Consider the following 24,589-nt stretch of genomic DNA (forward strand, 5'->3'; position numbering starts at 1 on the left):
AGAAGAAATCTGAATGTGGTGTTTTTCCTTTTGTATAAAAGAGAGTTATAAATTATGTCATGACCTCAGTTTCCTATGAGAGTTGCCTTATTGTGGGGAGGAAAGGGCTATTTAATGCTTTATGGAATGTAGATTTTTAATCTTGATGTTCATTGATTGATTTTAGGGGAAATCTGTGAATTACCCAAAATTATATACAAAATTTTGTGCACAGGTGTATTTCTCTGGACGGGAGATACAAAATTTTCATCAGATCATGTGTGCTTGTAAAAATAAACCTTTGGGTAATGAATTTCAAATTCTTCCACTTAGGCCTTCAGGCCCCAGCAAGGCTTTAAAACTTGGAGCCAAAGGAAAGGAAGTAGATAACTTTGTGGACAAATTAAAATCTGAAGGTGAAACCATCATGTCCTCTAGTATGGGCAAGCGTACTTCTGAAGCAACCAAAATGCATGCTCCACCCATTAATATGGAAAGGTAAGTAGGAACTTTGAGTAAGAATTCAAGCTTTGAATACAGTCCACATAATTTTTTAAAAATCTTATTTCAGTGTGCTATAAATTCTTTCTCTGTCTTTTAATCGTTCCTGATTTAAAAGATTTATTCAGAGCAGATTCTACATATTAACATAAGATCGTTTTTGGTTTTGTTTTGTTTTATTTACTTATTTTTTTTTGAGATGGAGTCTCACTCTGTCACCCAGGCTGGAGTGCAGTGGTGTGATCTCGGCTCGCTGCAAGCTCTCCCTCCCAGGTTCACGCCATTCTCCTGCCTCAGCCTCCCGAGTAGCTGGGACCACAGGCGCCCACCCCTACGCCCGGCTAATTTTTTTGTATTTTTAGTAGAGATGGGGTTTCGCCGTGTTAGCCAGAATGGTCTCGATCTCCTGACCTTGTGATCCGCCTGACTCAGCCTCCCGAAGTGCTGGGATTACAGGCGTGAGCCACCACGCCCGGCTGTTGTTTTGTTTTATTTTTTTGAGACAGGGTCTTACTATGTTGTCTAGGCTGGCCTCCAACTCCTGAGCTCAGTTAATCTTCCTGCCTCAGCCTCCCAAGTAACTGGGATACAGGCATGCGTTGCTGCACCTGACCTTTTCCTTTTTCCTTAAACCATGATTGGGGGCCCTCAGCCACCTATTTTCTATGAAGTTTAGAACTTTCCTTTTACAGCTAAATTAAAGTTACTTGTAGTCACACCTGGTATATAGCGTATCTCTTAGAATGCACTTGAATTAGGGGACTAGAGCTATGGTGACCCCACACTGTATTTTGGCATGACTTTTTCTAATTAAAGTCTAAGTAGAACCAATCTTTAATCCAAAACTTGTAGATATCTTTAATAGCAAATTAATATATTTTGCATTTTTATTTTATTTATTTATTTTTTTGAGATGGGGTTTCACTCTGTCACCCAGGCTGGAGTACAGTGGTGCAATCTCAGCTTGTTGCAACCTCTGCCTCCCAGGTTCAAGTGATTCTCCCACCTCAGCCTCCCAAGTAGCTGGGACTACAGGCATGCACCACCACGCTGGGCTAATTTCTGTATTTTGGTAGAGATGGGGTTTTGCCTTGTTGCCCAGGCTGGTCTCGAACTCCTGGACTCAAGCAATCTGCCTGCCTCGGCCTCACAAAGTACTGGGATTACAGGCGTCAGCCACCATGCCCAGCCATCTTTTGCAGTTTAAATATTTGAAGCCAGTATGGAATATTTTGATTCATCTCTTATCTCAGGGCTGTGGTACTGGTTGGTGACATTTTTAAGTGGTAGTTATCAAGTTCACATATTCGTGACTCAGATTTCTCGTCTTGAAGCCAGACCTTCTACTGTTGCTGATGGTTTTGAGGTCAAGTGAAAGATAATACCAGGAGGATACCTTTATCAGGTGTGCATAAAAGAGGAGTATTTACTCTTTTTCTTTCTTCTTTCCTTTCTTTCTTCCTTTCTTTCTTTCTTGACAGAGTCTTGCTCTGTCTCCCAGACTGGAGTGCAATGGCACGATCTTGCAACCTCCACCTCCCGGGGTCAAGCAATTCTCCTGCCTCAGCCTCCCAAGTGGCTGGGATTACAGGTGCACGCCATCACACCCGGCTAATTTTCTTATTTTTAGTAGAGACAGAGTTTTGCCGTGTTGGCCAGGTGGGTCTCGAACTCCTGACCTCAAGTGATCTGCCTGCCTCTGCCTCCCAAAAGTGCTTGGATTATAGGCGTGAGCCACCGTGCCCAGCCAAGTATTTACTCTTTATATGCCCTGTTCTGTATGAAATGAACAGGGTTACATTGGGATAAATTTCTTGATTCACTAAAGCCGCTGTGCTCTTCCTAGTGGTTGCTTTGAGTGAGACAGAGGCTTCACACTTTTAAAAAGATATTCCTGAGTGCAGTGGCCCACACCTGTAATCTTAGCACTTTGGGAGGCTGAGGTGGGCGGATTGCCTGAGCTCAGGAGTTCAAGACCACCCTGGGCAACATGGTGAAACTCCATCTCCACTAAAATACAAAAAATTAACCCCTTCTCCACTAAAATACAAAAAATTAGATGGGCGTGGTGGCACACACCTGTAGTCCCAGCTACTCAGGAGGCTGAGGCAGGAGAATTGCTTGAACCCGGGAAGCAGAGGTTGCAGTGAGCCAAGATGGTGCCACTGCACTCCAGCCTGGGCGACAGAGTGAGACTCTATCTCCAAAAAAAAAAAAAAAAAAAAAATGTTGGAGATCATCACATATTAAAGAGAATTTGAGACACTGTTTTTTTCTAAATGATAAATTGCCTCTTGAGCACAGAGCAAACTTTTGTGAAGGTAAAATGGTACCATGCATTGTCTTAAGATGCACTCCTTTATGGTCTTGACTCTGATGCCTTTGTTTCTAGGAAGACCTAAGAGGTTGGAACAAAGAACATGGTAGGATAACAAAATATTTTTTGTAGCCTCTGTAGTTCATCCAGCCAAACGTATGTCTATTACTGAATATGAATAGATTGTACTTAATACTTGCCTCTAGCAGCAGCAGTTTTTAATCTTTTAAAAATTGGATTATACATTCATATAGTACAAAATTCAAAAGTTGTTAACAGTCAGAAGTCTTCCTCTCACTCAGCCATGCCAGTTTCTCATTTTGGAGACAACTAGTATTAACAGAGTTTTTTGTGTATCCTTCTAAGGGGGATGGTCTGTGATATACAGATGAATAAAAAACATGTATACAGTGTGTCTATTTTTCCCCCTTTTATGCAAAGCAGTAAAACTAGACACGTCTTCCAATTGCATTTTTCATTTAATTATTTTGGAGATAAGAATCTCCTTATTTGAAACTGCAGAGATATGACATCTAAATGCGCAATACCTTACCCTAGACTGGATCCTCTACTAATGTAGTGTAGAAAAAACAACTCAAACTGTTTGTTTTTTCTATTTTCTCATTCAACAGCAACAATGAACACAGAAGACTTCTGTGATCAAGTGTGTTTAGATTTTTCCGCACACATCAAGCGGTCACACCTAGCTGGTGTCCTCCAATTCAATTCAATTCTGATGCTATCTACCTGGGAATAGCCTCAGATTCTACAGGTTGAGAGTTCAGTCCCCCAAGACTGATTCTTCCTTCCCACCAGTCATAAGTCCAGACTTTCAGAACTTCTTACTGACCTCAAGTTTGGCCTCCCACGACCCCCTCTGGGGTGTTCAATTAATCTGCTAGAGCACCTCACAGAACTCAGGGAAACTTACTTGACATTTATCAGTTTGTTACAGAGGACATTTTAAAGGATGCAAATAAGCAGCCAGATGAAGAGATACATAGGGCAAGGTCTGGGAGGGTCTTGAGCACAGGAGCTTCTGTCCCCAGGGAGCTGGGGTACGCCACCCTCCTGGAAAATAGATGAGACCTTGTTCATCTTCCTGTAAGCCTGCATGTGTTCAGCTGTCCAGAAGCTTCCCAGACCCTGTCCTCTTGAGCCTTTTATGGAGACTTCATTGGATAGGCATGATTGACAGGCATGCAGAAATGTGACTGGGCAAGGGTATGACCTAATACTGATAGGCTGAGTGGGGAAACACAGCAAGGCCTGTCCAAATTCTTGGCCTCTCTGTGCAGCATTAATCTTCCTCCAGGATATGGTGCAGGACCCCTTTTGGAGATCCTGCCTTGGGCTGGTGAAAGGAGGGCAGGAGAAGGTCAAAGAGAGGTTCTTTTTTCTAAGGGCTGCTCCTGAGGCCTAAAGTGCCCCAACATTATGTATAATAAGGGATATGGGAGTTATGAGCTAGGAACCATGGATGAAAACCGGTATGTATGTATATCATAATATCACAACTACTATTAAAAATATTATTAGGTCAACTGACGAAATTGACATATGGTTGACAGATCGGATACAATTATTGTATCATTGTTAGCCTGGCATGATGGCACATGGCTGTAGTCCTTCCTACTCAGGAGGCTGAGGCAGGAGGATCACTTGAGACCAGGAGTTCAAGGTTATAGTGAACTGTGATTGTGTCTCTGAATAGCCACTGCACTCCAGCCTGGGCAACATAGCAAGATCTGTCTCTTAAACAACAACAACAGGCTGGGTGCGGTGGCTCACGCCTGTAATCCCAACACTTCGGGAGGCCGAGGCAGGCAGATCACCTGAGGTCAGGAGTTCAAGACCAGCCTGGCCAGCATGGTAAAACTCTGACTCTAGTAAAAATACAAAAATGAACCGGGCGTGGTGGCAGGTGCCTGAAATCCCAGCTACGCAGGAGGCTGAGACAGGAGAATCACTTGAACCCGGGAGGCAGAGGTTGCAGTGAGCCGAGATCACGCCATTGCACTCCAGCCTGGGCAAGAAGAGTGAAACTCTATCTCAAAACAACAACAACAAAAAGCTAAAAAAACTATCAGTGTAAATTTGTGAAGTTAATAATGGTACTGTGATTGATTATGTAAGAGAATATCCCTAATCTTATAAAATAAGCACTGAAGTATTTAGGGGTAAAGTGCCGTGTTGTATATAATCTGCTTCTTAATGGTTCAGGGAAAAAAAATCAAATGTATAACATACATATATAATGTTTAGAGAGAGAGAAACACAAGTGCAAATTATAAAACAAATGAGGTAAATATTAACAATAGGTGAATCTGGAAAAGGGTATATATGTCTTCCTTGTATAATTTTAATTTTTTTAAGCTTGAAAATACTTACAAATAGAAAGTTTTTTCAGTTGTTTGTTTTCTCACCATTGCCTACTATTCATTCGGGTGGATATGCCTTTATTTTTTATTTTTTATTTTTTTGAGACAGAGTCTCACTCTGTTGCCCAGGCTGGAGTGCAGTGGCACCATCTCGGCTCACTGCAAGCTCCGCCTCCTGAGTTCACGTCATTCTCCCACCTCAGCCTCCTGAGTAGGCGCCCGTCACCACACCCGGCTAATTTTGTTTTTGTATTTTTAGTAGAGGTGGGGTTTCACCATGTTAGCCAGGATGGTCTCGATCTTCTGACCTCGTGATCTACCCGCCTTGGCCTCCCAAAGTGCTGGGATTACAGGCGTGAGCCACCACGCCCGTGAATATGCCTTTATTTGAGCAGCCCCCTATTGGCAGACATGTTTCTAAACTTTTGCCATTACAAACAATTCTTCAGTGAATAACTTAGCAGATTGTTTTGCACAGGTGAGAATTTATCTGTAGGATAGAGTCTGTTGAAGAATTGCTGTATCAAAGGGTATCGCCTTTTAAATGTTGATAGCTATAGCAGTAGCACCTTTAAAAAAACGTTGTTGATGGCTAATCATTAGACCTTGGAGAAAGGGAGTTCTGATTTCTACCTTTCTTTTTTCTTTTCTTTTCTTTTTTATTTTTTGAGACAGAGTTTCACTCTTGTTGCCCAGGCTGGAGTGCAGTGGGACAATCTCGGCTCACCACAGCCTCTGCCTCGTGGTTCAAGCGATTCTCCTGCCTTAGCCTCCCAAGTAGCTGGGACTACAGGCATGCACCACCACGCCTGGCTAATTTTGTATTTTTAGTAGAGACGGGGTTTCTCCATGTTGGTCAGGCTGGTCTCGAACTCCCCACCTCAGGTGATCTGCCCGCCTTGGCCTCCCAAAGTGCTGGGGTTATAGGCATGAGCCACCACGCCCGGCCATTGGTTTCTACCTTTCTGAACAAATGTATTACTTTCTCTTTATAGTGTACATATGAAGATTGAAGAAAAGATAACATTAACCTGTGGACGAGACGGAGGATTACAGAATATGGAGTTGCATGGCATGATCATGCTTAGGATCTCAGATGACAAGTATGGCCGAATTCGTCTTCATGTGGAAAATGAAGATAAGAAAGGGGTGCAGCTACAGGTGTGTAGAAGCTTTTGATAGGGAGTATTAACACTTTGTCTACCTATTATAGTCTTTCTCAACTAGAGTTCCCAATATGAACCACAGAAAATTACTTAAGTTATATAACTAGCATCACTCTAAACGCTTAGGAAAGAAGTTAATATATTGCATACAGTAGCTACCTGAGAGTGAGTAAAGCAGCTGTGTAAGGATGGCTTTTAAATATTGGAATTGAATAAAAGGTCATTTCGAAATCTAATAAATGACTTCATACTCACCAATAAAAGGTACAAGGAGGTGTTTGTCTTTTGCTGTTATGAAAACAGTAAATTAATCACTTAGGATCTTGCTTGAAATACAGTTTTAAAAAAACAAGGCTTTAGGCCAAGTGTGGTGGCTCATGCCTATAATACCAGCACTCTGAGAGGCTGAGGCTGAAGGATCGCTTGAGCCCAGGAGTTCAAGAACAGCCTGAGCAATGAGGGCTGAGCAACAAGACCCTATCTCTACAAAAACTTAAAAAATTAGCCAGGCGTGGTGGCACAATGCGAAATTTACTCATTCTGCTATTAAATAAACTGCCAGTGCTTGTTTTGTTAACTGAAGGGCAGTATCTAATGGTGTATTTGAAAAGTACATAAAATCCTTTCAATATAAGTGTGTGTGTTCCAACTATTGGATAGATATATATAAGCCCTGCTTTATGTTACAGGTGTTCTTGTAATTTCATTTCATTTAGCCGACATCTCGTCACAAGAACAAAGCCTTTTTACGGAAGAGTGTTTTTGTCTACTTTCCCCACCGTAGTCAGCACAGAATTGTCTTTTGGAAGCAGTGCTTATATTATTTGACATTTTTGCTGGCTTGTAAAGTGCTATCCAAAAGTGATTTCTGTTTTGTTTTGTTTTGTTTTGTTTTCCTGAGATGGAGTCTCTCTCTGTTGCCCAAGCTGGAGTTCTGTGGTACGATCTTGGTTCACTGCAACTTCTGCCTCCCCAGTTGAAGCAGTTCTCCTGCCTCAGCCTGCTGAGTAGCTGGGATTACAGGCACCTGCCACCATGCCCAGCTAATTTTTTTTATTTTTAGTAAAGATGGGGTTTCACCATGTTGGCCAAGCTGGTCTCGAACTCTTGACCTCATGATTCGCCCACCTCATCATCCCAAAGTGTTGGGATTGTAGTCATGAGCCACCATGCCCAGCCCTTCTGGGTTTTTTTTGTTTTTGTCTTGTTTTTTTGTTCTTTTTTTTGTTTTTTTTTTTGTTTTTGCACAGTCTCTCTCTGTCATGCGGGCTGGAGTGCAGCAGCACAACCTTGGCTCGCTGCAGCCTTAACCTCCTAGGCTCAAGCAATGCTTCCTCTTCAGCCTCCATAGTAGCTGGAACTATAGGTGTGCACCACCACACCCAGCTATTTATTTATTTATTTATTTATTTATTTTTTATTTTTTGAGACGGAGTTTCACTCTTCCTGCCCAGGTTGGAGTGCAATGGTGTGATCTCGGCTCACCGCAACCTCTGCCTCCCGGGTTCAAGCCATTCTCCTGCCTCAGCCTCTCGAGTAGGTGGGATTACAGGCGTGCGCCACCATGTCCAGCCCCAGCTAACTTTTGTATTTTTAATAGAGATAGGGTTTTGCCATGTTGGCCAGGCTGATGTCAAACTCCTGACCTTCAATGCCCCTCTCACCTCAGCCTCCCCAAAAGCAATTTCTTTTAAAAAGATAAGACTATCTTAATTGGCTTGGATTTTAACAACTTTAAGTCTCTAGGCAAAATTGCAACTAGACTTTACACAGAGCTTGCCCTTTTCTGCTACTTTATATAAGGCCAGAACTGCTGTCTGACCCAGGCAGCTGATCAGGGTCTTACTGGAGCCTTCTGCTTGGCAAACCTGGCCCCACCATGAACCTGCTCCCTGTGAAGTATTTTTGGAAAGAACTTGGTTAATAGTCTTTTAACTTTTTCAGGTGCAAACTTGTTCTGTAATGGCTTTTAGAGTTGAAATTAGCTTTTTTTTTAAAAAATTACTAGTTTTTAAGTATCTTAAATCATTTTAAAATAAGTCTTTGAAGAAGGGAAATCTTTCTTCAAAATGAAAAAGAATTGGAATTTGTTAGGTACTCTATTTTGGATGTTTAGATTGTGGGCCATATAAGCCTAGTGAGGGGTTGTTTCTCGTCTATCTGAACCTCAGGAGTTTTCCTTTCCCTCTCATTCTAGACCCATCCAAATGTGGATAAAAAACTTTTCACTGCAGAGTCTCTAATTGGCCTGAAGAATCCAGAGAAGTCATTTCCAGTCAACAGTGACGTAGGGGTGCTAAAGTGGAGACTACAAACCACAGAGGAATCTTTTATTCCACTGACAAGTAAGTGCCTCTGGCCAGTCCCACTAAGCTAGTTTGCATTGAGAACTAGAAATAGCCCTTGCTGGTACACTTTTATTTTTATTACCATAGCAAAGTTCTTTCTGACAAAATGACTTTCTTTTGAAATGGACCTGGTGCTGCATTTTGTATATTTTTATCATTAGTTTTCATTTTTAATAGCTTTCATTTTGAAACCATTGTAGTTTTGTTGTTGTTATTGTTTTAGAGACAAGGTCTTCTTCTGTTGCCCAGGCTGGAGTGCAGTGGGGCAATCATAGCTCACTGCAGCATCAAACTCCTGGACTCAAGCCATCCTCCTGCCTCAGCCTCTTTAGTAGCTGGGACTAGGACTATAGGCACATGCCACCACATCCAGCTAACTTTTTTTAAAAGACACAAACTCCCTCTGTCACCCAGGCTGGAGTGCAGTGGTGTGATCATGGCTCATTACAACCTTGAACTCCTGGGTTCAGCTGATCTCCCACCTCAGCCTCCTGAGTAGCTAGGAGAACAGGGAAGTGCCACCACGCCTGGCTTTTTTTTTTTTTTTTTTTGGTATAGGTGGAGTCTCACTTTGTTGCCTAGGCTGGTCTTGAACTCATGGCCTCAACCAATCCTCCCACCTCGATCCTACCACCTTGGTCCTCTAAAGCGCTGGGGTTACAGGCATGAGCCACTGCACCCAGCCATCTTTTTCTAATATTCTAGTATGACTGCTTTGCTTTCTCCTCAGTTAATTGCTGGCCCTCGGAGAGTGGAAATGGCTGTGATGTCAACATAGAATATGAGCTACAAGAAGATAATTTAGAACTGAATGATGTGGTTATCACCATCCCACTCCCGTAAGTGCTGTCCCTGTGTCCTCTACGGTGGACTTAGAGAACTGGTCTTTTGGAACTCATTTTGGAGTCAGCACCTACCTGACCTGACTGTCCATTCAAAGATACTTCTTTAAAAAGCTAGTTGTGAAAGAAGCCAGATACAAAAGGCTGCATGTTATGTGATTCCACTTCTTTGTCTTTCTGGAAAAGGTAATACTATTGAATAAAAATGAGGAGGTAGAGAAGAAGGTACTTCACTTCAGAGGGGCACAAGGGAACTTTTGGGAATGATAGGAATGTTCTAGGACTTGTGTTTGCTTTGGCAGCACAGGTACTAAAATTGGAACCATACAGAGAAGATTAGCATGGGCCCTGTGCAAGGCTGACATGTAAGTTATGAAACATTTCATATTTATAAATAAGTAAAGCAAGGAAATTGTTTTTTTGAGACAGAGTCTCACTCTGTCACTGGAGGTCACTGGCACGATCTCAGCTCACTGCACCCTCCACCTCCCAGGCCCAGGCTATCCTCCTGCCTCACCCTCCCGAGTAGCTGGGACTACAGGCGCACACCACCACGCTTGGCTAATTTTTGTATTATTTGTAGGGACGGAGTTTTGCTGTGTTGTGCAGGCTGATCTCAAACTCCTGAGCTCAAGTGATCTGCCCGCCTCGGCCTCCCAAAGTGCTGGGATTATAAGCGTGAGCCACCACACCCAGCCAAGAATTGCTCTGTGACTTGATTGTGGTGGTGCTTACTGCATACACTTGTTGAAATACATTGAGCACTTGGAAGGGATGGATTTTACTGACTTTAAAACCAAATTGAACAAGCCAGTTGTAGATCTGGAGCTGTTTTTATTTATTTATTTATTTTTTATTTTTATTGGAGACTGAGTTTCACTCTTGTTGCCCAGGCTGGAGTGCAATGATGTGATCTCGGCTCACTGCAACCTCCACCACCTAGGTTCAAGTGATTCTCCTGCCTCAGCCTCCCGAGTAACTGGGGTTACAGGCATGTGCCATCATGCCCAGATAATTTTTGTATTATTAGTAGAGACGGGGTTTCACCATGTTGGCCAGGCTGGTCTCAAACTCCTGACCTTAGATGATCTGCCCGCCTTGGCCTCCCAAAGTGCTGGGATTATGGGCGTGAGCCACCGCACCTGGCTATTTTTATTTTTATTTTTTTGAGACAGTCTCACTCTGTCAGCCAGGCTGCAGTGCAGTGGTGCAACCTTGGCTTACTGCAACCTCCACCTCCCAGGTTCAAGCGATTCTCGTGCCTCAGTCTCCCAAGTAGCTGGGATTACAGGCGTGTGCCACCACGCCCAGTTAATTTTTGTATTTTTAATAGAGATGGGGTTTCACTATGTTGGCCAGGCTGGTCTCAAACTCCTGTCCTCAAAATGATCCACCTGCCTTGGCTTCCCAAAGTGCTGGGATTACAGGCGTGAGCCACTGCACCTGGCCTGGAGCTGTTTTTAGATGTTGGTCCTCAGCTTGTTTGTGTAGTAATGAAGATTTCCAGAAGGAGGAGCCATTTGTCAGTCAAACTTTCTGTTTTGCAGGTTTCAAAGAAATTGAGTCTATCGGGCTGAATGTTTCATTTTCACGTGCTAGTCTCTAAACTTTCACTAAAGATGAGAGTGTGTTCAAGGGAACTGTTGATTCTTGTTGAACAAGATGTCTACATTAGTTACAGTAAATTTCCTAACAGCCCTTTTGGAGCATAATTTATATACAATAAACTACACATATTTTAATTGTATAATCTTGACATGTTTACACTTGTGAAACCACCACCATAATCAAGATAACAAAAATGTCATGTCAACCCCAGAAGTTGAGTTCCAATAAGCTTTTGTTGTACACTTAAATGGCCCACTATCTAGGATCAACTGGAAATGGTCTCTACCTTATCTTTTTAGTAACATTTACAGTGAGCATGCAGTTATTACTTCACAGTAAATCCTAGCTCCTTTCACCTACCCATCAGCCCTCATGATTAAGCACAATGTTTAATTATGAGCACCAGTAAGTGTATTCTTAGTGTATCTTTACTGTTATGTCGCTCAGTTATTGCTGCAGAGAAAATGGTACTAATTTGCCAGGCGCAGTGGCTCACGCCTGTAATCCCAGCACTTTGGGAGGCCGAGGCGGGCGGATCACGAGGTCAGGAGATCGAGACCATCTTGGCTAACACAGTGAAACCCCGTCTCTACTAAAAATACAAAAAATTAGCTGGGCCTGGTGGCGGGCGCCTGTAGTTCCAGCTACTCCGGAGGCTGAGGCAGGAGAATGGTGTGAAGCCGGGAGGCGGAGCTTGCAGTGAGCTGAGATCGCGCCACTGCACTCCAGCCTGGGTGACAGAGCGAGATTCCGTCTCAAAAAAAAAAAAAAGTACTAATTTAATTCATAGTTTTCTTCCCTTTTTGATAATTCAAGCCTTTACATTATCAGGTCTGGTTTTAGTCATTCTTGTTTCCAATTTTAAAAATATACTTTATTACCAGTATCCCCTTTAATGGGTAACCATCTTATCCTCTACAGTATGGTTATTGCTTCAGAACAATAGATGGCTGCCTTGAACTGTTGTAGGACTTGGGTGTTGGTGACAGGTAGAGTTTTGTTTGTCAAGATTTAGTTTACTAGACTATTTATAGAATGCTACAATTTTGAGGCCTGTCTACCCTATAATTGTGGTTGTGGTGGTTTCCTGTATTCTAGTTCAGTTTTGCAATGGTCTCCAGAAGAGACCCTTACACAACATTTTACTCCCGTTGTCTAGAACTGATCAAATTAGAAGAGATCAGAATCAGAATTAGAGCAAGGGCACAGAGAAGGAACATAAAAGAACCAGGACCCTGAAATTGATAGGGAAGAGTTAATAGTCTTATGCCACCCTTAAAGTTTACTTTGTCTCCCTTATTTACCCTATCCCTAATATAAACATTGAGTGTCACTGGTGAATTAAAAGCTGGTAAATTTAGAATGTGTAGGAGTAGGTGACACTGCCTGTCAGCCGTGTGTAGGGGTGCAGAGTAAATCTTAACTAGCCCTGCTTCTCTCGCAGATTAAGGACAACTACGGATCTGTTTCTCCCATCATGTTTCCATTTTGCCCCAGGGGTAATTGTGCTTTCACTTATCAAATAAAAGTCCATTTACTGGATTGTAAATCAAATAAACCCATTGGTGTCAACTTCAATAAGTTTGAAACATTCTGAAATCTTTAAAAACAAATTCTCGGCCGGGTGCGGTGGCTCATGCCTGTAATCTCAGCACTTTGGGAGGCCGAGGCAAGTGGATCACGGGGTCAGGAGATGAGACCATCCTGGCCCGCATGGTGAAACCCCGCCTCTACTAAAAATACAAAAATTAGCTGGGCGTGGCGGCACACGCCTGTAGTCCCAGCAACTTGGGAGGCTGAGGCAGGAGAATCGCTTGAACTGGGGAGGCGGAGGTTGCAGTGAGCTGAGATCACGCCACTGTACTCCAGCCTGGCGACAGAGCAAGACTCTGTCTCAAAAAACAAATGAACAAGAAAACAAATTCTCTCAAAGGCCTCCATTCATCTCCACTATTGATGTTTAGAGTTTTCCCCCACTATTATCAATCTGCTTGTTTCCCCATTGTCTCCTATAAAGAGTGCTACATTATGTTAAAATTCCTTATTTATAGGGCAGCAACCTATTGGTGCAGGGTTTTTGGAAACATAGCCATCTTAACACATCTGTTGGTCGCAGTCCCCAGATCTAGTCCTTAAGTTGGAGCAGCCCATAGGCATATCTGCCAAATACCTATTTTTGCATATTAACTATATCTACAGAGGGAATTGAGTGAAACTCTTAGCCCAAGGTGCTAGGACTTCATCGTTTGATCCTTGAAGTTATTAGCCTTTTTTTCCCCTGAAATTGTAGTCCTAGAAGGCAAAATTTGGGGATCATATATCAAATTTGGGGTTGGTTTTCCGTGGTGGAGTTCTAGCTCTGAACAGCTACCTTGACCAGAATGTTTCTCACAACAGGTCTGGTGTCGGCGCGCCTGTTATCGGTGAGATCGATGGGGAGTATCGACATGACAGTCGACGAAATACCCTGGAGTGGTGCCTGCCTGTGATTGATGCCAAAAATAAGAGTGGCAGCCTGGAGTTTAGCATTGCTGGGCAGCCCAATGACTTCTTCCCTGTTCAAGTTTCCTTTGTCTCCAAGAAAAATTACTGTAACATACAGGTACTCCATTTTAGTTGAGAACATATATAGGGAAAGTGGTAGGACAGTAGGAACACGTATAGGATGCCAGACAGGTAGCATGGCTTTTTGTGGTCAGATAAAGCTCAGAAAAAAACTGATGTCTCCTACAGGAATTCCCTTTCTAATTCATTGTATGATCGTGGTCAAATTCTTTTATTGCTTTACCTCAGTTTTCCTCTCTAGATCAGACAAAGTAAAGAAATGGAATGTTAATACAGATAAAAGTACTTGTGGATTATGCAAGATTCATAAACACTTAGTTGCCTGTTTTTTTTTAACCTTATATATTTTAAAGTCGATTTGCCAAAACACCCCAACACATGGTTTTTTTAAGGCCTTGCTGTCACTTGATTTATACCCAAAGAATGAAATTGTTTTATTTAGAAGACAAAATTACTACAAAAAAAAAATCCATTCTATTACAAATGGAAATTATTTGAGGGTTATTTATGTCACAGCTCCCTTTATTAGTACAAATAATCATGAGCCAATTCTGTTGCAAACTCTGTCCTTTAGGTAGGCAAAGCAATGGAGATGTGTGAGCTGTTCCTTCGGATTTTTTTTTTTTTTTTTTTTTTTGAGATGGAGTTTTGCTCTTTTCACCCAGGCTGGAGTGCAATGGCGCGCTGTCAGCTCACCGCAACCTCCGCCTCCCAGGTTCAAACAATTCTCTTGCCTCAGCCTCCCAAGTAGCTGGAAATACAGGAATGCGCCACCATGCCCTGCTAATTTTTGTATATTTGGTAGAGACGGGGTTTCTCCATGTTGGTCAGGCTGGTCTTGAACTCCCGACCTCAGGTGATCTACCCGCCTCAGCCTCCCAAAGTGATGGGATTACAAGTGTGAGCCACAGTGCCCAATGGATTTTTTTCCTTTTTTTCTGAGACGGAGTCTTGCTCTGTTGCCCAGGCTGGAGTGCAGTGACATGATCTCGGCCCACTGCAACCTCTGCCTCCCGGGTTCAAGCAATTCTGTCTCAGCCTCCCCAGTAGCTGAGATTACATGCGCCTGCCACCATGCCTGGCTAATTTTTGTATTTTTAGTAGAGACAGGGTTTCACCATATCGGTCAGGCTGGTCTCGAAATCCTGACCTGAGGTGATCCGCCCACCTCAGCCTCCCAAAGTGCTGAGATTACAGGCGTGAACTACCACGCCTGGCGGATTTTTTTTTTTTTTAAGACGGAGTTTCACTCTTGTTGCCCAGGCTGGAGTGCAATGGCGTGATGTTGGTTCACTGCAACCTCTGCCTCCCAGGTTCAAGCGATTCTCCTGCCTCATCCTCCTGAGTAGCTGGGACTACCGGCATGCGCCACCACGCCTGTCTGATTTTTGTATTTTTAGTAAAGACGGTATTTCACCATGTTGGCCAGGCTGGTCTCAAACTCTTGACCTCGTGATCCAGCCACCTCGGCCTCCCAAAGTGCTAGGATTACAGGCGCGAGTCACCGCGCTCGGCCCGGATCATTATTTTTTAACTCATCATTCTTCCAGTTTTTATTGTTGTTGTTGTTTTGAGACGGAGTCTTGCTCTGTCACCAAGGCTGGAGTGCAGTGCGATCTCAGCTCACTGCAGCCTCTGCCTCCCAGGTTCAAGTGATTCTCCTGCCTCAGCCTCCCAAGTAGCTGGGACTACAGGCGTGTACTGCCACACCCAGCTAATTTTTTTTTGTATTTTTAGTAGAGATGGGGTTTCACCATGTTGGCCAGGCTGGTCTCTAACTCCTGACCTCAGATGATCCGCCCACCTCGGCTTCCCAAAGTGCTGGGATTACAGGAGTGAGCTTCCACGTCTGGCTGTTCTTCCAGTTTTTTAATTTGCATTACTAGGACCCAGTTTATATTATTAATATTCCCCTCTTTTTGACTTGCTTGTTGTTCTGGCCCTACCTTAGCTTCCCATATGGTCTCCGTCTCCCCTGTAAATGCTTAGAAAATTGCAGCTTCCTCCCTTGAATGATTCCAAAGAGCAGTTCTCTCTCCCTATCCTGTTAGTGACATAACCCCATCAGTGTTGGAAGCAACTGTATTGAACTCAAGACATTAGATAGAAATGGGTAAATTTTCCTATTGGGGCTATTCAAAGATTAGGACATTATAATTGCTCTCCCAAAACTTCATTAGAAAATACGAATCAGTGGTTCAAGTGTTGTATTGGTGCCGTTATAGGTACCATTGTTACATGTAATTAATTAAGCTGGACATTTATTTATTTAAAAAGGAAAAACCTCATTGGACCAGCCATGCCTAAAAAATAAGTATGATAGAGCAGCTTACTGGGACTTTTAACACGAGACTTTGAGAGCAGAGCAAATGAATAATGTGAAGAGCTAGAACGTTGCCTTTTGGGTCAGAATGTTAATATATCATCCTGATAGAATGTCTATGAATTTCATAGGTTATACAGGGCAGGGCTGGGCTGTGGCCACTCATTTTGGAGCTTTTACTTAATACTACGGAACATCTCGTCCCAACAGTTGTCTTTTCTCCATCTAGAAGAAAAGCAGCTTAATCATTTTGGTGGGGAAGAGTGATGCTGTGACTTTCAGTTGTGAATTGAACATTTTTCTAGTATTTTACAGTTACTTTTAATACCGCTTTTAGGGAAATTGATATGTTCTGTAATGAGAATGTAGTCAACATGATGGAGACTCAAACCTCCTGCTTTACCTTACTCTTTGTTTATTTTCCTAGGTTACCAAAGTGACCCAGGTAGATGGAAACAGCCCCGTCAGGTTTTCCACAGAGACCACTTTCCTAGTGGATAAGTATGAAATTCTGTAATACCAAGAAGAGGGAGCTGAAAAGGAAAATTTTCAGATTAATAAAGAAGACGCCAATGATGGCTGAAGAGTTTTTCCCAGATTTACAAGCCACTGGAGACCCCTTTTTTCTGATACAATGCACGATTCTCTGCGCGCAAGGACCCTCGACTCACCCCCATGTTTCAGTGTCACAGAGACATTCTTTGATAAGGAAATGGCACAAACATAAAGGGAAAGGCTGCTAATTTTCTTTGGCAGATTGTATTGGCCAGCAGGAAAGCAAGCTCTCCAGAGAATGCCCCCAGTTAAATACCTCCTCTACCTTTACCTAAGTTGCTCCTTTATTTTTATTTTATTATTATTATTATTATTATTATTATTTTTTGAGATGGAGTCTCACTTTGTAACCCAGGCTGGAATGCAATGGCATGATCTCAGCTCACTGCAACCTCCGCCTCCTGGGTTCAAGCAAGTCTCCTGCCTCAGCCTCCGAGTAGCTGGGACTACAGGTGCACGCCACCACGCCTGGCTAATTTTTTGTATTTTAGTAGAGACGGGGTTTCACCGTGTTGCCCAGGCTGGTCGCGAACTCCTGAGCTCAGGCAATCCGCCCACCTCAGCCTCCCAAAGTGTTGGGATTACAGGCATGAGCCACCATGCCCAGCTGCTCCTTTATTTTAATCCCTAAATATAATCCCTAAATATAGTTATATTTCATACTTAGTTTGTTTTTAAAAAGTTTTCTCTGTAGAAAATTTTAATCATTCATACCCTTTACCTTTAGGTTTTTCTTTCTATACATTCAGTCAGGCACTGGGATCATCTGTTTACAGGCATTATATTTATTTGGCACTCCTGGAACAAGTATATCTAACCCATTCTTGATTTTTGGACTATTCAGGTGAACTATTTGAGGGGTATGGGGTCTAGAAGTTAAAAGATACGCATGTCTTCTGTTCTTTTCCCGTATCAATTCATTCCTTCATCTCTTTGCCAAGTTGTTTTCCTTTCAGGGCCTGTCCTTCCAGTTTAGAACAGTACCATGAATCCCACTTGTGTCAATATTAAAGATAGCTGAGAAGCACCTTTCAAATGGCACAGTCCCTCTTCAAGATGTCTAAAAGAATGGTTATGTCTGTCCAGTTAGGGATTTCACATCCACATGTAATCATGTCTGCTGCTGTTGCTACCCAAATTTTCATTTCTCCACATTTTGGGTACTTAAGCTAAAACGTAATGGCCACAGTCTGTAATCCATTCACATTCCTCAGTTTCACCACCTCCCTCTTCCAGACTGCACTCTCTGTCATCAGTCCCCTCCTTTCTAACAGAAATGGGGTTATGATTTTGAAGGCTGTGGGTTCAGGGAGTCTTTGCCAATCCTGTTGGCCCTAAACTATCAAGGAGGCTCCATTTCACCATTTGATTTTTTGCATTTCAGGAGGCAACTGATTGTTTCGATATGTACATATTACTCACGTATACCCCATTTCCTTCCAGTCAGCCCAACATTTTCCACCAGTCTGTCCCCATCTCTGAAATCCTTCCTTCTCTTTCCCCCTAAGTCTTTTGAGTGTCATCATGTACTGGTGGTTTCTCGGTTCCATCTCATCCATTTCCTTTTCAATGGAGACTACAGCGTCAGCCAGCTCAGCCTTGGCTTTTAACTCAATATTCCAGTCCATAGGGGTGGTTAAAAGTTGCTGCAAGGCTGCAGGCACTGGCAGTGGGAAGAGGCAGACGACTAGATGACTTCTGCACTTTTAGCTGGTTGAAAAGTACCACTCCCACTCTGAACATCTGGCCGTCCCTGCAAAGAGTGTACTGTGCTTGAAGCAGAGCACTCACACATAAATGGCTGTGTGTGGAATTGCTTGCCAAAGAAGTTTCTAGCCTTTCCCTTTCCCCTAACTGCATCAGGGAAGAATTCTTATCTCTAGCTTGGTTTCCACATGAGGTTTTTCTGAGAAGGGCTTGGGACAAGAAGTCTGTCATGTTAGTTAAGCAGGCAAGAAATCCTACTAATCCAGTTTTGTTTGAAAGTTGTTTGTCCGTATGATTTTTTAAAAGTCAAGTTTAATTTCAAAAAACCTTTTTTTTCTGAGATTACTTTTGGGGTAATATTTAAAATGAGAGACATTTTGTAACCCTGTAAAATACATAGGGAATATAACATTCCAGTGTATACAAAGAAGGCAAATTCTTTAATCAAATAAAGCGCATTATAAAATGAGATGTTTATTGGATTATTGACTCACTTTGGTGTCTGCTTGTTGATTCAGGATGCTGTAATGGGACCTAACATTAAAAATTAATGACATGTTTTTTTTAAGAGAAAGTAATCTGTGAGAGTATTCATTGCCTTTTTCCATCTTATATGTATTGTGCTTCCTTGCGTATTTTTCTACATTTGATACATGCACTCCTGACAGTGTAGCTTTTGAATTTGATGCTACTTCTGGCCTTTTTGGGGATTGGAGTCTTAATTTTGTCAGACGGCAGTTGGAGAGTCAAAAAAGTCAGGCTTCATCTTTAATCTTGGAGTCTTGGAGTCTTCTCTTCCCCATTAGACCGTGATGAGAAGTGATCCAGGGATGAGGGATAATGGGAACAATTTTTGGGAACTGTTGATAATTCCCTCAGATAAACCTGCTTACTTTTTTTTTTTGAGATGGAGTCTCGCTTAGCTGCCCAGGTTGGAGTGTGGTGGTGCGATCTCAGCTCGCTGCAACCACGGTCGCCCAGCTTCAAGCGATTCTCCTGCCTCAGCCTCCAGAGTAGCTGGGATTACAGTCACCCGCCATCATGCCGGGCTAATTTTTTTTGTATTTTCGTAGAGACGGTTTCACCATGTTGGTCAGGCTGGTCTTGAACTCCTGGTCTCAGATGATTCGCCCACCTCTGCCTCCCAAAGTGCTGGATTACAGGCGTGAGCCACCGCGCCCAGCCTTTTTTTTTTTTTTTTTTGAGACAGTCACCAGGCTGCAGTGCAGTGACATGATTTCGGCTCACCACAACCTCCACCTCCAGGGTTCAAGTGATTCTCCTGCCTCAGCCTCCTGAGTAGCTGGGATTACAGGCATTCCACACCACCACCCCCGGCTAATTTTTGTATTTTTAGTAGAGACGGTTTCACCATGTTGGTCAGACTGGTCTCAAACTCCTGACCTCGTGATCCGCCCGCCTCAGCCTCCCAAAGTGCTGGGATTATAGGCCTGAGCCACCGCGCTCCGCCAGAGCTGCTTACTTTCTTATGCTTTTTTAAAATTTAACTTGGAAAAACTATTGGGTGTCAAAAAATTGGAAGGCAAATTATTCTCACTTATTAAGTATCTGGGATGAGAAATTTCTAATGTTGAAAGCCAAGATTCTGATTTTTTTTTTCTTGGTGAAAAAAAGTATCTGGTCTAATGTTGCTCAAGTGTGGCTTAGCTGTCTGAGACTGTAGCCTTAATCGAATGAAATGATTAAGGTCTGTCATTCCTTTACTCACCATAGCTTCAAATTTGTCAACCCATGCATCTCTGATGGGAAACTTTGCCCTCCAATTAATTTTTAAATTGTGAACAGTTTTAAAGTTGTTCACACTGGCTAGGGTCTGAGATTTCCAGGGTTGATATAGAATAGCTTTTTATTAAACTTCACATCTGACAGGGCTTATTGGAAGGAGACAGGAGAAAAATGGAAAAAGTCATCCTCAAGAAGATTAAAGTCTAACTGGAAGCAATGACTATCTGCTTGTGAAGCCTTTTTTTTTCCAAGTTAGACAAGTGTTAACTACAGCTAGTACTAAACATGGATCTATATGAGAGTAGGTAACATGGCTTCTGTCTTGTAGGCTCTAGAGGAATCTCAAGCAAAACCTCACAAATGATTTTCTTTTGCTATGCACATCTGTCTTATTACAACCCCCTTACCCCCAATTCCCTTGTCCTAGAAGATCCACAAGTAGGTTGGTTGCTGTGCATTGCTGTTACCCAAGGGCAGACAGCAACACTACAAATAGCTGCCTTAACGTCTTATCCTGGGGAGTTGGGGATTGATACGGAGGTAGGCCTTTAGAAAAATTAGACTATCTTTCCAAACCAGGCTGTTTTCCCTCTCACAATCACAAGTCAAGCTATTAGGCAGTTTTCAGAAGCTTGGACCACTTCTCCCATCCCCCACCGCAGTTTTTTTGCCCTGCTGTTCTTAGGGCAGGGGCTAAGTGGTTATTTAGGGTCTAAACCAATACTGGAAAGCTTCCCTAGGTTTACTCTGGGTGATCAGATTGATTACCAAACCAGGACAGGGGCTGTTTGAAAGAAGCATTAGAAATTCAAGACAATGAGAGAAATTGAAATAGGTCTTGTCTCCCATTCTTTTGCCCAAATGAATGCTTGTTCTTTTAGCTCATTAGGAAAGCCCTTAGCCTTGGAGGTACACAAGACCAGTCTTCTGTCCTACCCAAATTTCCCACTTAGCTTGGATGCATGTTAGCTTTGGGTCGAAGCAGACTATGCAATTTCTAAGACAGCTGAAAAGAGAGCTTTGAACTTTTCCCCAAGTTGCTGCAGGGTCATTGCTACCACCACGCCTACACCAATGATGCCTGACTTCAGGATCCAGAGGCCAGAAACGGACAGCTTTCTGGAAGAGGGTGTGTATCTACAAGGATTGCTTGCTGTATGAGCAATAATCACCTCTCTGGGGCTAGAGGGAGTACAATTTGAGAGGTGGGACAAAGTGGGGAATGTGCCAAGGCAAAAGCAGGAGTATGGAAATTCACTCCTGACACTTGTAGCCAATGCAAAGGGCCTTAGAAAAATCCACTCTTCCTTCCACACCCAGGCTTTGCCCTCTCCCCCTGCTTCCACTTCGGAAAGTCTGAAGCAGGCCTGGAAAGCTGTTTTCTGCTTTCTTTCCCTCTCTTCCTCCCCCTTTCCTGAGCTCCCAGCTGCTCGACCTCTTGCGTAACTGTGAGAGAGCGCTGAGTTTTTTGATGGGCTCCAGATGTGGAGCAGGGCGGAGATGGAGAGTGGGGGCGGTAGGTCTTTAGTCCCCTGAGTGCTCTAACTGTGGGAACATAGAGGCCTGACACAGCAGGGGAGAGGACACATTGCACAGCGCCTTTATCATAGGGTCAGCTGGTCCCTGTGTTGGGAGGTCAGTGAGAGAAGTTGGGTGCTGTTTCGACCCTCTGCCTCAGCATCCACTGCCTCCATGGCAGGCTTGATTATTCCCTGAAATTCCTCCTGCCCAGTACAGTAAAGAGGAGCTGGGGGCCGTGAAACAGAATGAAGTGAAAAGCCTCTGAGGTACTGCAATCTGGACCCCTCCCCTCAGTGCTGGGTCTTGGCACATGGGATACAACAGTTTGGGTTTTTTCCTTCTTCCTTTTTTTACATACCCAAATAGCCTGAATATTACTGTTGTGATCTGCCTCATGAAGGTTCATCAGAATTACTTTCATGACTTCAAACAGTATGAAGAGAGGAAAAACTAGAGTCTCGCTCCTCAAATCCTAGGACTTCCTGGTACCCACAGCATATTCTGGATCTTGAGTGTTCCACCTCCATTAGCTATAGCAGGTGGCAGCAAAGGGCGGCCTCTCCCCTCCCCCTCCTTGTCTGCTGCTTGGCCCCGGTCAGCTTCAGTCTCCAGCCGTGGGGGGTCCCCTGCTAAGGCCAGCCCTGTCAATGAGTGACCAGAGATTCCTGTAGTTCAGCCTCCTGCTGTTCCTGGGTTAGGGAGAGACGGCACAAACTAAACTCATTGAATTAGAACAGCACTTGTCCATCTCAAAGAGGATAAATTATTTTTTGCTATCCACCCCAGCTGGAATTTAGACCAGACTTACAGGCTTTCTGCTCCTTCCTTCAGTGAAGAAGAGTCTCCAGGGTCCCTCTAGTGCAGGTCAAAGAAGTCCAGTCCAGCTGAGTTCAGCTCCCTAGGGCCTCCCCAGCCAGTCTCCTGGACCAAGAGCTGGCTTTGCAAGGTAAGGATCCACTGTCAGCGTTGGATTTCGGAGTGGAGGTTGAGATGGAGAATGACTTCAACCTAGCTCAATTTGGGGGCTGCTTTTAGGTGTTTAGTGCCTCCTTCTCTTCCTTATTAACTCCCACTCCTACTACAGGTTGGTGTGCTCAATTGTATGTCTATAGCCTGCCTCCATCTCCCAATCTGTAATCCAGCAAGTCTGTCGGGGTGGAGGGGTGTGGAGCTCCATGGGGGCAAGATGATAATTCCATTCGGTTTTCCTGTGCTTTGGAGTTTGCATGACACTTTAACGAGTCTTCTTGTGCCTATCCTTAAGAAAGTCTGTGAAGCCTGATGTGCGTGGCTATCAATGTCATTTACAGCTCTTCATGGTGGGGCTTGGAATAGGGCGAGGGGAGGAGGTGACAGGGAGAAGACCTGGGTACCCTCAGTAGATGTTCTGGAGATGTTGAGAGCATGTTGTAGGGGCTTCGATTTGGGAGGTTCAGTGGGAGCCCGTGGAGGTTTCAGGCATCTAAGGCAAAAAGAAAGAGGGGAGAGTTTGGGGGAGGGAGAACGGATTGTCAAAAACACCCTCTCAAAAGCGTGTTAAAGCCTGGGAGTGGAGGGTGGTCTAGGAGAGTCGGGAGGGCAGGGTGGGAGGAGAGGGGGATGTGTGGTGGTGGTGGTGGTGGTGGTGGTGGTGGTGGTGGTGGTGGTGGTGGTGGTGGTGATGGTGGAGAGCCCAGCTGCAAAGATGAACAAAGCGGGCGCTGTGCAGGCTGGGGGAGGTGCTGCTGTGGGAAAGGGTGGGTGGGGGGACCTTGGGCTCCAGCCCCACAAGGGCGTCTTCTTTGGCTGGCCAGGCGGACGGGACGGGGGACGGGGGCGGGGACTGGCGGGAGGGGGGCGGGACAGGCTCGCTCTCCTCCTACTTAGCGAGCTCCCGGGGAAAAGCAACGGTGTCCTCCTAAGCCTGAGGCCACCGCGACCGAGCCGAGCCAGGCTAAGGGACCAGTGTCTCCCTGCCCCCCCCCCACCTCTAGGTAAGAGCGCCCCGTCCCACTACACTTGCGGGTCCCATTCGCTGCGGTGCTAGGACTGGATAAGGGGAAGTCCCCGGGGCCTGGCGAGAGCCCTGAGATCAGCTCTAGGCTAGGGAGCTCGGCAGAAACCCGTGGGGGAGAGAGGGCACCCCAGGTGAGTGCGTGGGGGCGAAAGGAGCGTTATGGGGAGTTTTCCTGTGAGCCTCTTGCTTTTGCCTTCCTCGGCCGCTGCCAACGCCACCGCCAGAGGGGGCCGTGACGCTCTCCCCCCCTTGGAGAAACTCTGATCCTGGCCCTATCCAGACTCTCCCGCCGGCACCCAGGCGGCCGGGCGGACACTCGCGGGGTATCGGGCGGCGAGCGCGCGCGCGGGTTTTCGTCCTCCAGCGCCCCACACCTCCCCCTCTCCGCCCACAGCAGGACCTTGGGGCGGGGGTATCTCCTGTGACGTCTCCCCGCCTGTCCCCAGGCCGGCCGCCTTGATGGACCAGGAAGGGATTCGGAGTCCGGCTCAGAGTCTTGAGCGTCTAGGAGGGCTGCCTGGGGGTGTCCAGGAGATGGGAAGCCCGCCTGGGGCCTCCCAGGCACTCCCCAAGGCCCCACGTCCTCGGGGGCCGGGGAGGCCGCCTGGGGCGCCTTGCCACGCCCGCGCGGTCCCTATTGGAATCCCTAGCGGAGTTCCCCGAGCGGAGGCTGACCCAAGTCATCCGGGCTCCCCCGGGATAGGGAAGTGCGGGCGGGCGGCTGGGTAGGGGCGCCGGCGCAGGGTGGCCGAGTCGCCCGCTAGCGCTTCCGCCGAGGCAGGCTCGAGTGGGGACTTGGCCGGGCGACCGCACAGCCCTGCCGGGGACCCACGGCTCTGGGGCGGGGCTGCATTCTGGGCCGTTAGCTCAGCGGTCCTGGAGCCTCCCGAGGCTGACTCATCGGGCGGCGGGCTCACCCCCCAGCCGTCAAACGCAAACGCAGGCGCCCCACCACGCCGGGCTCCCACGCGGCACACACGCACGCCTCCGCGACACTTCGCACACCTACGTCCCTGCGTCACGCCACCCAGACA

At 45.1% G+C, this 24,589-nt stretch overlaps 2 protein-coding genes, 1 long non-coding RNA gene and 1 pseudogene across 24 annotated transcripts in view, besides 5 other annotated features; 3 read left to right on the forward strand and 1 right to left on the reverse strand.

Annotated features, from left to right (window-relative positions):
- ARCN1 (archain 1 coat protein complex I subunit delta) overlaps positions 1-18,866 on the forward strand; it is a 30,625-nt gene extending 11,759 nt beyond the window's left edge. For 6 of the 13 annotated variants that reach the window (NM_001425076.1, NM_001655.5, NM_001425074.1 and 3 more), the window contains 6 exons: positions 313-477; positions 6,174-6,339; positions 8,542-8,689; positions 9,423-9,531; positions 13,540-13,744; positions 16,458-18,866. In NM_001425076.1, coding sequence (NP_001412005.1) covers positions 313-477; positions 6,174-6,339; positions 8,542-8,689; positions 9,423-9,531; positions 13,540-13,744; positions 16,458-16,547 — 883 coding nt within the window. In that variant the 3' untranslated portion in view covers positions 16,548-18,866. Of the gene's footprint in view, positions 1-312; positions 478-6,173; positions 6,340-8,541; positions 8,690-9,422; positions 9,532-9,836; positions 9,900-13,539; positions 13,745-16,457 lie in introns of all 13 variants that reach the window. The other 7 variants (NM_001425078.1, NM_001425079.1, NM_001425081.1 and 4 more) reach the window with 5 other exon arrangements.
- Positions 6,659-6,869: a silencer, noted in NCBI's record as "fragment chr11:118461541-118461751 (GRCh37/hg19 assembly coordinates)". NCBI's record gives its function as "represses an EF-1alpha promoter that drives an FKBP-Casp9 reporter gene in an ReSE screen in K562 erythroleukemia cells {active_cell/tissue: K562}" and the evidence as "EXISTENCE:reporter gene assay evidence [ECO:0000049][PMID:32094911]".
- RNU6-1157P (RNA, U6 small nuclear 1157, pseudogene) lies at positions 9,821-9,926 on the forward strand (annotated as a pseudogene).
- LOC124902765 (uncharacterized) lies at positions 18,732-24,344 on the reverse strand. The gene is made up of 2 exons (XR_007062908.1): positions 23,956-24,344; positions 18,732-23,021 (listed from the first exon to the last, which is right to left on the reverse strand). It is a non-coding gene; the product is annotated as an uncharacterized LOC124902765 (long non-coding RNA).
- Positions 20,485-20,680: a transcriptional cis regulatory region, noted in NCBI's record as "candidate enhancer chr11.5498 targeted for multiplex CRISPR interference". NCBI's record gives its function as "positively regulates PHLDB1 gene expression with high confidence in K562 cells {active_cell/tissue: K562}" and the evidence as "EXISTENCE:mutant phenotype evidence [ECO:0000015][PMID:30612741]".
- The window catches only part of PHLDB1 (pleckstrin homology like domain family B member 1), a 51,593-nt gene continuing 49,272 nt past the window's right edge, over positions 22,269-24,589 (forward strand). For 7 of the 10 annotated variants that reach the window (XM_047426637.1, XM_047426638.1, XM_047426639.1 and 4 more), the window contains exon 1: positions 23,448-23,532. The gene's annotated coding sequence lies outside the window, so the exon portion shown is untranslated. Of the gene's footprint in view, positions 22,506-23,447; positions 23,687-24,589 lie in introns of those variants that run through there. The other 3 variants (NM_015157.4, XM_011542709.3, XM_047426640.1) reach the window with 2 other exon arrangements.
- Positions 23,940-24,029: a silencer, noted in NCBI's record as "silent region_3948". NCBI's record gives its function as "represses an Ori minimal core promoter by ATAC-STARR-seq in GM12878 lymphoblastoid cells {active_cell/tissue: GM12878}" and the evidence as "EXISTENCE:reporter gene assay evidence [ECO:0000049][PMID:35858748]".
- Positions 24,090-24,159: a silencer, noted in NCBI's record as "silent region_3949". NCBI's record gives its function as "represses an Ori minimal core promoter by ATAC-STARR-seq in GM12878 lymphoblastoid cells {active_cell/tissue: GM12878}" and the evidence as "EXISTENCE:reporter gene assay evidence [ECO:0000049][PMID:35858748]".
- Positions 24,287-24,581: an enhancer, noted in NCBI's record as "tiled region #10010; K562 Activating DNase unmatched - State 1:Tss". NCBI's record gives its function as "activates a minimal TATA promoter and a strong SV40 promoter by Sharpr-MPRA in K562 cells {active_cell/tissue: K562}" and the evidence as "EXISTENCE:reporter gene assay evidence [ECO:0000049][PMID:27701403]".

Source organism: Homo sapiens, chromosome 11 (genome assembly GCF_000001405.40).
Source record: "Homo sapiens chromosome 11, GRCh38.p14 Primary Assembly".
Lineage (NCBI taxonomy): Eukaryota > Metazoa > Chordata > Mammalia > Primates > Hominidae > Homo > Homo sapiens.